The sequence below is a fragment of the Homo sapiens genome, chromosome 8, assembly GCF_000001405.40.
Source record: "Homo sapiens chromosome 8, GRCh38.p14 Primary Assembly".
Taxonomy (NCBI): Eukaryota; Metazoa; Chordata; class Mammalia; order Primates; family Hominidae; genus Homo; species Homo sapiens.
The window spans coordinates 86175587-86190952 of record NC_000008.11 but is presented as its reverse complement, the minus strand read 5'-3'; the positions used below and the strand labels follow the sequence as shown (position 1 = coordinate 86190952).

At 40.5% G+C, this 15366-nt stretch overlaps 1 long non-coding RNA gene across 1 annotated transcript in view; it reads right to left on the bottom strand.

Moving 5' to 3' along the window:
- LOC105375623 (uncharacterized) overlaps positions 1–10485 on the bottom strand; it is a 31769-nt gene extending 21284 nt beyond the window's left edge. The window contains exons 1-2 of the long non-coding RNA NR_188044.1: positions 10334–10485; positions 4247–4306 (exon numbers count right to left, since the gene is read on the bottom strand). This is a non-coding gene — a long non-coding RNA (uncharacterized LOC105375623). The remainder of the gene's footprint in view (positions 1–4246; positions 4307–10333) is intronic.
- Positions 10486–15366: the final 4881 nt, after the last annotated feature.

The following is a 15366-nucleotide window of genomic DNA, read 5'->3' as shown; positions in this document are numbered from 1 at the left end:
GGAGGGCTCAGAAGACAAGATGTGGGAAAGTTTGGAACTTCCTAGAGACTTGTTGACTTTGTTTGACCAAAATACTGATGGTGATATGGACAATAAAGTCCAGGCTGAGGTGGTCTCAGATGGAGATGAGGAACCTGTTGGGAATTGGAGCAAAAGTGATTCTTGCTATGCTTTAGCAAAGAGACTGGTGGCATTTTGCCCCTGCACCAGACATCTGTGGAACTTTGAACTTGAGGGAGATGATTTAGGGTATCTGGTGGAGATACCCTAAATTTCTAAGTGGCAAATCATTCAAGAGGAAGCAAAGCATAAAAGTTTTGAAAATTTGCAGCCTGACGATGTGATAGAAAAGAAAAACCAATTTTCTGGGAAGAAATTCAAGCCTGCTGCAGAAATTTGCATAAGTAGTAAGGAGTGGGATGTTAATCACCAAGATGACAGGGAAAATGTCAGAGACCTTCACGGCAGCCCCTTCCATTACATGCCTGGAGGCCTAGGAGAAAAAAGTTGTTTCATGGGCTGAGCCCAAGGCACCCCCAATCTATGCAGCCTTGGAACATAGTGTCCTGCATCCCAGCTACTTCAACTCCAGCTGTGGCTAAAAGGGGCCAAGGTACAGTTCAGGCTGTTGCTTCAGAGGATGCAAGCCCCAGTCCTTGGTGACTTACACCTGGTGTTGGGACTGTAGGTGCACAGAAGTCAAGAATTGAGGTTGTGGAACCGCCACCTAGATTTCAGAGGATGTATGGAAATGCCTGGATGTCCAGGCAGAAGTTTGCCAAAGGAGCAGAGCCCTCATGGAGAACCTCCGCTAGAGCAATGTAGAAAGGAAATGTGGAGTTGGAGCCCCCACACAGAGTCCCCACTGGGGCACTGCCTAGTGGAGCTGTGACAAGAGGGCCACCATCCTCCAGACCCCAGAATGATAGATCCACCAGCAGCTTGCACTGTGCAAGCTTGCACTGGAAAAGCTGCAGACATGCAATACCAGCCTGTGAAAGCAGCCAGGAGCAGGGCTGTACCCTGCAAACCCACAGGAGCAGAGCTGCCCAAGGCTTTCAGAGCCTTCCTATTCCATCAGTGTGACTTGCATGTAAGATATAGAGTCAAAGGAGCATTTTGAAAGGTTTAATGGCTGCCCTATTGGATTTCAGACTTGCATGGGGCCTGTAGACCCTTTGTTTGGCCAATTTCTCCCATCTGAAATGTATTTACCCAATGCCTGTAACCCCATTCTATCTAGAAAGTAACTAACTTGCTTTTGATTTTACAGGCTCATAGGCAGAAGGGACTTGCCTTGTTTTAGATGAGACTTTGGACTTGGACTTTTGGGTTAATGCTTGAATGAGCTAAGACTTTGGGGGACTGTTGGAAAGGCATGATTCTGTTTTGAAATGTGAGAACATGTGATTTGGGAGAGGCCACGGGCAGAATGATATGATTTGGCTATGTCCCCACCCAAATCTCATCTTGAACTGTAGTTCCCGTAATCCCCACGTGTTGTGGGAGGGATCAAGTGGAAGGCAATTGAATCATGGCAGTGGTTACCCCCATGCTGTTCTCGTAACAGTGAGTGAGTTCTCATGAGATCTGATGGTTTTATAAGGGGCTTTTTCCCCTCTGCCTGGCACTTTTCCTTCCTGCCCATGTGAAGAAGGATGTGTTTGCTTCCCCTTCCACCATGATTGTAAGTTTCCTGATGCCTCCCCAGCCCTGTGGAACTGTGAGTTAATTAAACTCTTTTCTTAATAAATTGCCCAGTCTTGGGTATTTCTTCTTAGCAGCATGAGAATGGACTAGCACAGTCACTGTCTACCCTCACCCACATATGGGACCATCTAGTTGCAGGAAAACAAGCTCAAGGCTCCCATTGATTCCACATTATGGTGAGTTGTATAATTATTTCATTATATATTACAATGTAATAATAATAGAAATAAAGTGCACAATAAACATAATGCACTTGAATCATCCTGAAACTATCAACCCCGACCCTAGTCCCTGAAAAAATTGTCTTCCACAAAACCAATCCCTGGTGCCCAAAAGATGGGGGAACTCTGCCATAGGGACAGCACCCAAGAAGCTACAACATTCATAAAGGAACTCCTCTTGAGCTCATTCTTGTTCCTAACCTGGCTTCTTCCACCCCATGTGTCATGTTTCTGACTTCTGCTCTGCAGATTTCTACCCTCCTTTTGGGAAACTGTTTTGGGAAACATTATGTTCTGCATGTTTATGTTCCCCATTCCCAAATTCATATGTTGATGTCTATGCACACAAGGTGATGGCACTGGGGGGCAAGGACTTTGAGGGGTGATTACATCATGAGGACAGAGCCCTCGTAAATAGGATTAGTGCCCTTATAAAAGAGGCCCAAGAGAGACCCCTTGGCACTTCCACCATGTGAGGATACAATGAGAAACAGGCCCTCACAAGGCACTGAATTGCTGGTGCTTTGATCTCAGATTTCCCAGCCTCCAGAACTGTGAGAAATGCATTTCTGTTGTTTATAAGCCACCCAGTCTATGGTATTTTGTTACAAGCAGCCCACGTGGGCTAAGACAGAGATGATGCCTCTTAGCCAGAGAGATTGAGATCTGTTTCCATGCTATTCTCTTCCACAGAAGTATATTTTCCTAACTCAAGAGTCCTTGCTTTTGAAGTAATGTTCTTGTGGTGGGGGGCAGTGACAGAGCCAAAGACCCTGTCAACAGGGCAGTCCATAACCTGTGCTGACACTCCCCAGATAGCTTGGCAATATCCAGGGTGGGCATGAGTTCCCCAGGAGAATTAAACCTGTGGGAACACTGTAAGTGGAAGGAAGGGCACTTTATTCCTCCAACTGTGCAGTAAGGAACACACAAAACACACACACACACACCACACAAAACACACACACATACAAACAAAACACACACAATACACACAGACAAAACATACACATACACACACACATACACACACACACACACACAAAACACACACACACCACCTTCCAAAGCTATATGTTAATCCTGAGAGACAGTGAATTCCAGTTCTAAAAGGAAGTTGGGAAATGTCTTTTTCTTCCATAACTGAATTACTATTTCACATTTTTTAGGCTAAGCAAAAAAATAGTTTTGTCTTCTTCCCTTGTTTCCAAATATTTCTTACAATGGCCAACACCTTTTCTTCCCAAAGGCCCTGCCAAGTTGCTGAGATCAGTTTCTTTCAAGAGGAGGGAGGCGGAAGTTTTATTCTTCTAGTCACCTTTTATTCCTGCAGTTACATTTTTAACACAATAACCCAGGAGATTCATTAACTTATTCATTAATTCTCCATTCATTCACTGATTCATTCAACAGACTTTTGTTGAGTACTAATATGTGCTACTCAGTGCTTGGGAAAATATAAATAAAAACAAGATATGCTTTCAGTTCACAAATATCTCACAATGTCATTAACTATAATACCACATGAAAAGTGCTATGGAAAGTGCTAGGTGGGCATAGAGACAGTCGCAATTACATTTTCCTTGAAGAGTCATTGTCCTATTTCCCATCTGTTTTCATCGATAATGAGAAGTGTAGCTCAGTTGTGAAAAACGAAATTTTTTTCTCTTTTTCTGAATTTGCACAGGACCATCACTCAGAATTAATGTTGGGTTTTTGGAGATGTGTGTGGTATGTGTGTGTTTCCATTTCAACAACCTCTCTGTTCAACTAGAAGAGGAAACTGCCACACTTTCAACTTAGAGTGGTGGATGATGTGGCAAAGATGACTGGACCTGGAAAACCCACCCACCTGGATATCTTCTGAAAAGTCTTCACTTCATTTCAGGAATTAAAGATTCTCAGCCGGACACGGTGGCTCACGCCTGTAATCCCAGCACTTTGGGAGGCTGAGGCAGGTGGATTACCTGAGGTTGGGAGTTCGAGACCAGCCTGACCAACATGGAGAAACCCCGTCTCTACTAAAAATACAAAATTAGCCGGGCATGGTGGTACATGCCTGTAATCCCAGCTACTTGGGTGGCTGAGGCAGGAGAATCGCTTGAACCCTGGAGGTGGAGGTTGCAGTGAGCCGAGATCGCACCATTGCACTCCAGCCTGGGCAATAAGTGCAAAATTCCATCTCAAAAAAAGAAAAAAAAATAAAAAACAGAAACAAAAACAAAAAAAACCCATAAAGATTCTCATAGCACAGATACCAGTCAACCTCACCAGCTTCACCCTTGCAAGAAAGCCACTTTGTAACCTGTACATACAGTTACTCTCATGCTTCTGGAAATCTCCTGGGTCTCCTGGTCTCCTGGATCCACAGCTGCCTTGGGTAGAGGAGAGGGAAGGGGTGAGAATAAGGTATGGGTGATGTCAGTGATGGCGTGAAGATGTGAGGTCCATTCATCAATCCATCTTATGAGTATTTGTTGAGCAGGTGCTCTGGAGCAGGCACTGTGGTAGGCTCCAGAGACACTGTGTTCATGAATAAGACACAGATCTGTGGCAGACAGCTAGTTGTCTCCCTGTATTTATATTATGTATTTATTTTTTGAGACAGGGTCTCACCCTGTCACCCAGGCTGGAGTGCAGTGGTGCAATCTCGGCTCACTGCAACCTCCACCATGTTGGCCAGGCTGGTCTCGAACTCCTGACCTCAGGTGATTTGCCTGGCTCAGCCTCCCAAAATGCTGGTATTACAAGCATGAACCACCGTGTTTGGCCTGTCTCCCTATATTTAATTTCCTCTCCTTCCCTAGTATTGATAATTGCCAGCTAAAGCCTACAGTGTGCAGGTTCTTTTGCTATTAGGTGTACTCATGTGACCAAGTTGTGGCTAATGTAATGAGTGGAAGCAGTGTTTGCTACTTTAGAGAGCTCAGCTTTTAAAGTATTCAACTTATGCACCTCTCATCCTTTTCCTCTTCTTATTGACAAAGAGGTAGCAAGAACTTGGCAGCTTGACTGAGAGATGGAAGCTACATATTGAGGGCAGCAGAGCAATCCCATCAGCTAGAAGGTTATATGAAAAAATTATATATGTGCAGCTTGTATAAGTGACATTATTTGGAGTTCTATTTGTTAAAGCACTTTAGCCTGTACCTTAATTAATGCAAGCTTTGCCTTCCTTGAGCTTACAGTCTACAGGGAAACTTAGTAATCAACTGATCTCAAAATAAATATATAATTACAAACTGAGTTAAAAGTTACATATGTAAGGGCCAGGTTCGGTGGCTCATGCTGACATGAGCCCACACTTTAGGAGGCTGAGGCGGGTGGACTGCTTGAGGCCAGGAGTTCAAGACCAGCCTGGCCAACATGATGAAATCCCATCTCTACTAAAGATACAAAATGTAGCCGGGTATGGTGGTGCACACCTGTAATCTCAGCTACTCAGGAGGCTGAGGCAGGAGAATCACATGAACCTGGGAGGTGGAGGTTGCAGTGAGTCAAGATCGCGCCACTGCACTCTAACCTGTGTGACAGGGTGAGACTCCGTCTCAAAAAAGAAGAAAAGAAAATTGTATTATAAGAGCATTTAATGAAGAGATTTGGCCTAATCTGAGGGGCTTAGGGAATATTGGAGAAAGCAAGAGTGGAGTAAATGCCAGAGGTGTGTTGGACATAGTATTTGAAAATGTATTATTTATTTATTAATTTTTAAATTTTTTTAGAGATGAGGGTCTCACTCTATCACCCAGGCTGGAGTACAGTGGTGCAATCATGGCTCTCTGAAGCCTCAACCTCCTAGGTTCAAGCAATCCTCTCCCCTCAGCCTCCTGAGCATCTAGGACTACAGGTGCATGTCATCATGCCTGGCTAATTTTTTAATTTTTGTGAAGACAAGGTCTTGTCGTGTTTCCCAGGCTGTTCTTGAAATCCTTGGCTCAAGTGATACTCCTGCCTCAGTTTCCCAAAGTGCTGGGATTACAAACATGAACCATGTACCTAATGATAATTAAAAAAAAAAAATCATTGTGAGGAGCACCTCTGCCCAGCTGCTGCACCAACTGGGAAGTGAGGAGCGCCTCTGCCTGGCTGCCGTGCAACCCTCCAGGTGTGAAGTGGCAGCCTTGTGTGTGATCTTTCTGCCATCCCCAAGTTTGCGTTTTCGACAGTAAAGTTTACTTTTAAATTAAAAGATTTAAGTTGGGGAAGATTAAAGAAAAAAAAAACAACAACAACGATTTTACATTAAGCCAGTTTTGTTTTTTGAGGGCCATTACCTAAATGCATATCTTCATGAATTTCTCTGCCTGGTGTAGTGCATGAGCTTGAGGGAGAAAGTCTAATAAGATGTACAAATTGTAAGTCACATAAAAAGGAAAAATACTAAATTTTGAACAGAACAACGTTACTGGTATTTATATTATAATGCTTGGTTTAAAAATAAAAGGTGGAGGCCAGGCACAGTGGCTCACACCTGTAATCCCAGAAGTTTGGGAGGCTGAGGCAAGTGAATCACCTGAGATCAGGAGTTCGAGACCAGCCTGGACAACATGGTGAAACCCCGTCTCTACTGAAAACACAAAAATTAGCTGGGCATGGTGGTGCATGCCTGTAATCCCAGCTACTCGGGAGGCTAAGGCAGGAGGATTGCTTGAACCCAGGAGGCAGAGGTTTCAGTGAGCCGAGATTGTGCCACTGCACTCCAGCCTGGGTGACAGAGTGAGACCCTGTCTCAAAATAAATAAATAAATAAAAGAGAAAAATGTTTATATAAGGTAAATCTATCTAGACAAACATGAGGACAGATGAAGTACAAATAAGATCCAAGCAAAAAGTACAAACTATTTCTTTTATAAAGGAAAAGAATGAGGTTATTTTTTGTCTAAATCATTGGCTTATTGTCCACAATGATCAGATGCAACTGAAAGACTGTGCAAATGTCTGCTCATTTTGTATAGACTTGAAGCCAGAGACTAATTACAACAAATAGTGTGTACTGACAGGAAAAGACAACACATAACTAGAACAATGCTTCACTAAAGAACAAGAAGCACTTTCAGAATGATAGACACACAAGCAAATTTAATAAGGTGATGCATAAATGTGCAATTTTACAAGCAAGGAACATTGCATCACTGGAAGACATCCAGATACAAGAATAAGAAAACCAGTGGGAGAGGCCAACTCATGAACTGAGAGTTGACCACTTAGTCTGATTATTCTATGTAGCATCTTTGTTTCTGTTATGCCTAATATGGAGATAATTTGGACTTGAAACCATGGGAGATTGACTAGATCCTCAAAGTCAATCTAAAACATATCTACTAAATCACACCTTGTATAAAAATTAAAAAACAACAACCACTAATTATGGAAAATAGTAGCAACTCTTAGCCTATATTATCCCATGGTGGAGAATTTTAGTATCCCCAAATTAAGATGCAATAATGTGGGAGAAATAGATATACCAAGTAAAATATGATATTTGCAAAAAGTATTGCCTTTACTAATTAGTTCACATGTTAAACTAAATATAATTTGCCTTGAGTACCGTAGAGACCAAAAAAATATTCACTGGAGGAGAAGAGAGAAGAATGAAAAATGTATGAATGGTTAAAAATACCAATATAACAATGAACATATTTTTTCCATATAAATGGAAAATTTTGCCAGTGGATATAATCTTAATAATTATGATGATGATGCAATTTTCACTTCATTAGAATTCAAGTTAAATAAGTTACTGAAAGTGTTTTCCAAGAGAGTTCTGATAATTTAAACAAATCTCTTCGTGAGAAAATAGTTTACTATTATGTTTTAGCTGTATCAGCATATAAAGAATAGAGTGTGCATTTCTGGAAAGCTAATTTTAAAATAGGAAAGAAGAATTTTTAAAGGCTCCATTGAAAATATCACCCTCATTTACTCTGACATAATTAAAAACATTTTTTTTTGCCTGAGTCTTCTTGCTAGGGAACATAATTTTATTATAACAAAAGTCATATCTAATTCAAGTTAAATATATGTTAATATCATGATTCAATTATGACTGCTTTAGAGAAACAAACATTTCATCATTTAGAAAATAAATTGTGATACCATCTTAAGTGGAAAATAGAAAAAACTAATAAAAATAGAAAAAATCTATTTGTTCAGGAAACATTTTAATATCCATAATCATATCTATGTATTATTTCATCATTTTTAGGGCATTATCACAGACATCACATTGTTTTGAGATCTGTAAAATCCATGTGAGAGCAGGCACTTATTCAATAGGTACTTACCTAGCACCAACTATGCGCCAGGCACTGAAAAGCACTGAGGATTTAATGTTGGGCAAACAGAGAGTCACTGACTTCTTGGAGTTTATAGTTTCCTGGGAAAGGCAGCCAATATATTTGATAGTTCTTAAATATAAGGAACTATGACATGTTAGAGAAACTTAAAGTTGGTCAATGTGGTTAAAGTACGGAATGAAAGAACGGTTAAGCCTGGAGAGAGAACCGAGTGCTGTTAAACTGGTTCTCCTGCATGGAGGAGAGAGGGGAGGTGTGGGGAAAACCCTTTGTAGCATTTGCCAGTTTCCACAGGATACATACTCTCCCCACATCCAATGATTCAGCAATCAGCTTGCAAATTTCCAAAATATTTAACCATCTGCATGCAGGTGCCAGCCAGTATGAGCCAGATCCAACGCACTCCTTTTCTTCCCGAGAGGCTAGATCACAGAGGATCCTTGTATGCCATAAGGAGTTTGATTATTATCTTAAAGAGCAATGGAAAGCTATTGCATTGAACATATTTTTATTTTTAAAATAAAACTTTGACTATAGCATGGATTAAAATGGGATGCAATGAGACAATTTCTGAGTACAGTGTGAGAGTCCAAGAGAAAGATGATGATGGCTAGAATAAGAGTGATGGCAATAGAGAATAAGCAGTTGACAAAGTCAAGAAACAATTTGATGGTAAAATCAACAAGTCTTGATGGACTAAGACGCAAGGCAGAGGATGATGTCTACAGGTCTCTGGCTTGCAAAACTGGAAGAGTGGATGGGTGGTGGTATCAAGATAGAAAACCCTTGGGTCGGGAGAAATAGTTTTAGAGGAAAAGATCATGAGATCAGTTTTGAATTTGTAGATTTTGATGAATCTTTCGTTCAGATCTCCAGGTAAAATGTTGAGTGGGTAGTGAGATATGCAGATTTGGAGATTAGGAGAGGTTTGGGCTGAAGATAACCTTTTGGGAGTCAAAGTTTAAATTACATGATAATTGATACCATGCACCGATATTATAGCCTAGGGAGAAAATACAAAGTGAGAAAAATGAGGACACTTAGGAATGATTATTGAGAATATGCAGCATTTAAAGACAAGCAGAAGAGGCTGAGCCAGGATAAGAGGGACACCATGGCCAGTGGGTAGGAGGAAAGCCAGGAGACTCCTTGGCTTCTCTTGGTCACAGAAGCCAAGAGAAGAGAGCGCTCAGGACGGATGGAGGGGGCAATGTTGCTGAATGTCGGGTAAGGAAGTAACTTGTCCAAGCTCACCCTGGGGATTGGGATGCAAACATTCTCACTGCGTTTGTCAAGAACAAATTCTTAGTCTAACCAGAGCAAATAGAAAGAAAAGATATTTCAAGGATACGCAGATTTCATTGAGAAATGAAGACAGTATCTGAGATTAATGAGAATTGGAACTGGAAAGAGCTTACCTTTTATGTCATTGTATTTGATTATAATTATTACATGTAGCATTGGATATGATTATGCTATGTTATTAGCATTAACTGTGAGTTTACTGTGAGACACTGCTCTGCACTTCACATGCATCTTTCTTTTGATTCTAACAATCCTGTGAGAACGATACTACTATTAGCTTCATTTTACAGATGAGAAAAATGAGTTTTAAAGAGGTTAAGTAACTTGTTCAAGGTCACACAAGTTGATAGGGGAGCCAGGGCTCAGAGATAGATTTAAGTGATTCCAAAGCTCCTACCCTTGAACAATGTACAGATTGGCATGAATCAAGGCATCTATTCCCAGGAGCCAGGCATGATGGCCTCACACCTGTAATCCTAGTGTTTTGGGAGGCCAAGGCAGGAGGATCATTTAAGGCCAGGAGTTCAAGACTAGCCTGGGCAACATAGCAAAACCGTGTCTCTAAAACAAAAATAAAATAAAATAAGTTATCTGGGCATGATGGTACATGCCTGTGGTCCTAGCTACTTAGGAGGCTCAGATGGGAGGATCACTTGATCCTAGGAGCTCAAGGCTGCAGTGAGCTATGATACCATACCACTGTACTCCAGCCTAGGTGACAGAGTGAGACCCTGTCTCTATTAAAAAAACAAAAAGTGTCTACTCCCTCGATCACCCCCACCCCTTTAGAGGCCCAGTCACCTCTGCTCTCTGCAGAATGCTCCATTCTCCGTTCTTATGGTGGGCTTCCTCAGCATCAGCTTGCATATGACCCATCATAGTCTTAGCCCTGATTCTTTATGAGCTTAGTGTCCACACATCTCAATTATAAACCTCACAGAAGAACGTGCTCAGACCAGTTCATCTAGGATGTAGAAGGAAGGCAGGTGCCCTCTCATGATTCAAACAGCTATGTCTAGGGATTGAGGTCATAAAGAGAATAGTGATTTGGGGCAGGGACTGTTACCTCAGAGGGAAGCAGAAACAAGATTGCTATCTTGGATATACATACTCTCAAATTCTCAGTCTTTTTGTATCTTCAACCTTTCTTCTGACTTTTTTCTAAACATATAAACATGTTCCTCTCAGTTTTAATCAGACATTTTTAATGGTAAATGACAGAAACTCAGCTACAATTTATTTAAGCAGAAAGAGAAATTTTCTTATAGAAATACTGATTATCTCAGATCTTGAGAGAAATAATGTTTCTGGGTCTCAGGAACAATCGGAAGTAAGTAAGGATCGAAATGGTGCTAGCACTCATTTTTCTTTCTGTTAGTCTTTCATCTTCGCATTTCTCTATATTTTTATTTGTCTTCCTCATTGCAGGTTGCTTTTCAAAACATGATGGAAAACATGATTGCCAACGAATTTTACAGTTTATAGTTTCAATCACTGAAATGAAATTGATTTGGTATTTCTCCAGTATAAAATCTAAAAATCCCATGGTGGGGAAACTGGCTCATTTGAGTACATTAGCCACTCCTCATTCATTCAGGTGGTTCACTGGTATGGATTCTTTAGACCAATTTGGATTAGATTAACTACCAATTAATTCTGACAAGGAAATGGATCATATAAGAAACATGATATATCTTGACTGGGCGCAGTGGCTCACGCCTGTAATCCCAGCCCTTTGGGAGGGTGAGGCAGGTGGATCACTTGAGATCAGGAGCTCGAGACCAGCCTGGCCAACATGGTAAAACCCCGTCTCTCTCTACTAAAAAATACAAACATTATCCCAGCGTGATGGCAGGCACCTGTAGTCCCAGCTACTCAGGAGGCTGAGATAGGAGAATTGCTTGAACCTGGGAGGCAGAGGTTGCAGTGAGCTGAGATTGTGCCACTTCACTTCAGCCTGGGCAACAGAGCAAGACTCCATCTCAAAACAAAAACAAAAACAAGAAATATGATATCTCTCATTCTTCTATCCCATGTTGGTGGAACTGCTTTGGGAGGACATTGGAAGAAGTTTCCAGGAGAAGCAGGTTGCTCCATTCTCAACTTCATGATGACTGGTTTCCTCTGCTTCAGTTTGCACATGGCCCATCAAAGTCTTATCCATGAGCTCTATTCTCATGAAGGTGCTGAGCTAACTACAGTCTTCCTTCTCACCTTCCTTTTCGCAGCCCAGCTTATTTTCAACTCATATTCATTTTCTTTATCTTAAAGTCAATTCTTCATCTACTGCAGTTTGACCTACATTCTCACTACTCCAAGAAACTACTTTTGCCAAGATTGTCACTAGTTAGTGCAATAAACACTCTTCAGTCTTTTTCTTACAACAACTCTCTTCAATTTATGTCATTGTTCACTAACTCCTATGTGACAAAGGCTTCCAATTGCTTCCCAGGATCCTTTTTCCCCTTTTTTCTTATTAAATGGAACCCATTGCTCACCTGGAATTATGGCTGTCTAGAATAAGATTTATTTTTCCCAGCCTCCTTTGAAGTCAGATATGGCCATGTGGCTAAATTCTGCCAATGGATTGGAATTAGAAATGTTGTATAAAATGTAGAGTAAGTGTCTTTCAAGGTAGTGATGCACTCTTCTTCGGCCTGTCCTTTTTCCTTCTGGGATGAATCTTGAGCAACCATCTTGGACGATTAAGATGCAGAGTAGAATGTAGAAAGAACTGGATGATAATAGAGGCCCCACACTAGTGTAGGCTGCCTAACTATACATCTAGTCTATGTGAGAAAGGACTGTAACCTGCAACTAAGTATAATCCTAACAGATACATACTTTTTTCTTGAAACTCCCTTCCCTTTCCTCTGTTTACTCTCTGTAACTCTGCTCCCTACTGGCCTTCTTCCTACTATTTTAGATTTTCTAACTCAGACTTATTTTCCTTGATCCATCCCTTGTCTCCAGGGTTCTGTCTGGTGATCTCTGAATATTCTAATATTTTATATGTGAAACCTCATCAATACTCACACTTAAAATTGCTATATTATGTTGTTGACTCAGAAATACAAGTTTCTAGTCTTTCCCTCCTCTTCCGACTGCAGACCCAAGTATGCCTTAGCCTCTGAATGATTTTAACTTTTTAACATTCCTTAAGTTGCTTACATCAGTTAGTGACCCCCCTATCTTAACTGCTGCCTGAGAAAGAAGACTGAATTTCTCTCGACCTCCCTAAATGGTCTATTGCAGCAGTCTTATACTGGTCTTCTCTTATTTAAATTCTTTTCCACATTGCTGCCAAAGTTGTCTATATTTTTTTTTCTTTTGTCAGGGTCTCATTCTGTTGCCCAGACTGGAGTGCAATAGTGAGATCATGGCTCACTTCAGATTCAATCCCCTGGGTTCAGGTGATCTTCCCACTTCAGCTGCCAGAGTAGCTGGGATTACAGGCATGCACCACAATGCATGGATAATTTTTATGCTTTGTAGACAAGATTTTGCCACCTTGCCCAGGCTGGTCTCAAACTCCTAGGCTCAAGAGATCCACATGCTTCAGCCTCCTAAAGTGCTGGATTATAGACATGAACCACTATGCCTGGCCAAAGTTGCCTTCCTAAAACCAACTCCAATCATGATACTTTTCCAAATAAAAAATCTTTTAATGACTCTCCATTGTCCAATGTCTTAATGTGCATAACAGAAATTTCAGGTACTGCTTCTCTCTCCAGACTCATTTTCAGTAACGTCTTCAGATTCCAAACTTCCAAAAACACTGAACCATTTGCAGCTCCCACCTGAGCCATGCTCTTTGTAGATGCGGGATGCTTTGAAATACAGTTTTTCTACAGTTTTTCTCTCCTCTCGTTTCATAGCAAATTCCCACTTATCCTTTGAAACTCAACCCAAAGATTCTTTCCTCTATAAAGTTTTCCCTGATATCATCAGGTCTATGTAGATTGATGCTTTTCTTCAATGCTTCTAATAACTACCTAAATAGGTGCAAGCCTGCATTACATCTGCTACGTTGCGAATCACTTTAGTTACACATCTGCATTTTTGACTTGAGCTAGAGCTTATTTTTTTATATCTGGAGTGTCGTCTTCTTCCTGGTACACTGTAGGTATTTAATAAAGTGTTAAAATTATTAATTTATAAAGATAAAAATATGGGAAAAACTAAAGTTCTGTTTATTACTAAATTCATCTTGAAACTGATTATGAGCTCATCAAAAATAGCATTCCCAAATCAGGCTGCTACTCAGTACATGATTCTCTGAGTGGCCCTGTCAGTATCACTCTTCCTTTTATGCTTCCCCCGTATCCTTTGCATTGGCTATTAATCCAAAAGCAGAAATTCTAAGTCCACCTGGGCCAACAGGATATTCCCCCCACAGGCATTTGAAAATGACTTGAGGTTTGTCAGAAATGCAAGTTTCTGAGAGCTGAGTCATCCAATGTGAGTGTCTTACAGAGAGGATTTGTGAGCAGCCAGCCCTGATGATTTCCCTGGATCTGCTCCCATTTCTGTCCTCTCCAAAGACTATGTACACTGCTCTTCCTTTGATTTTGTGAGCAGCCCTTTTCACACACTCCCTTATTTCACTGAGATGAGCTAAAGTCAGTTTCTTTTCTTATAAATGAAAGAATCTTAACCAAAACACCAATTATAAAAATACTGAAGGACTGCAAACACTATTGGCTGATTCACTATTCTGCGGGTTAATGACTAGGTTCTCATAAATGCACACAGCGAAGCTCTTTGAGCATACAGATTTTATAGCTTTCTAAGAGGTTAGATTTAGCAGAAACAAAGGTAGGCAAATTCATGGTACTTTTCCATAAAACCACATGAACTCAATTTAAATATTGTTTTCATTTCAGGTGTCCTTTTTTCATGTTTTTTCATAAAAGAACATGTTTCACCTTCTAGAAACAGTCTTTTCACTTCAAATTTAAAATGCCATGTTAAGTTAGCATAGAATTTTGGCTTCAATTGTTCCTAGATGTTAGGTCCACTTCTCCTCAATGCCAATTAAAATGACATAGTCTGATGTATGTGTATCTGATGTTTCCATAGCAGCTAACACTAAGCAGCTTTACTTCCTAATTAGCTTGACGGTACACTGTGAAATTCCTTCGATCCAAAGATGAGATGTTATAAGATATGGCCTTTGTGTAAATATAACCTTCTATGACAGGAAGCCAAAAAAGCAAAATTTATCCAGATGAAACAGAAAGGGGAAATGTGCTCAGCCAAAGTGTTAAATTCAAGCTGAGATTTGGCAGAACACTGGGAAGAAAATATCCTCTACTGTTTTGTTATCACACACACACTCAGTGGAATACTTAATAATCAGAAGGAATTTAAGGCTTGGTTCTGTAATGCAGTTTGGCAACTGGCATCTCCAGTACCCGAGGTCTGTACATATCATCACAACACATTATTTAATACTGATTTAGAGGACACATCAGCCTGCTGATTCAGCTCCACTACTTCCTGTCAACAATAGTGATAATATTATAAAAACTCTCTTGTACCCAGTGGTTATTTAACAAAGTAGTCTCAGCTCTCAGGAAATAGAAAATAATCCATCAAGCTAAAAAACTTACCAAGAATTCAAAGCAGCATCTCAAAGTCCAGGTGCTAAAGCTGATCTGATCTGTATTTTCTCTTATGTTAGACTTAATTCTAACATAAAAATTTAGTTTTATGGCTCCCAAAAAATAAGCAGCAAATCAGAAGATAGAGACAAGTGACTTCTATTACACTGACAGTGAAAGAGGGGAAAGAACATCATAGAAAAAGCAAGAATAAAACTACAAAATGTG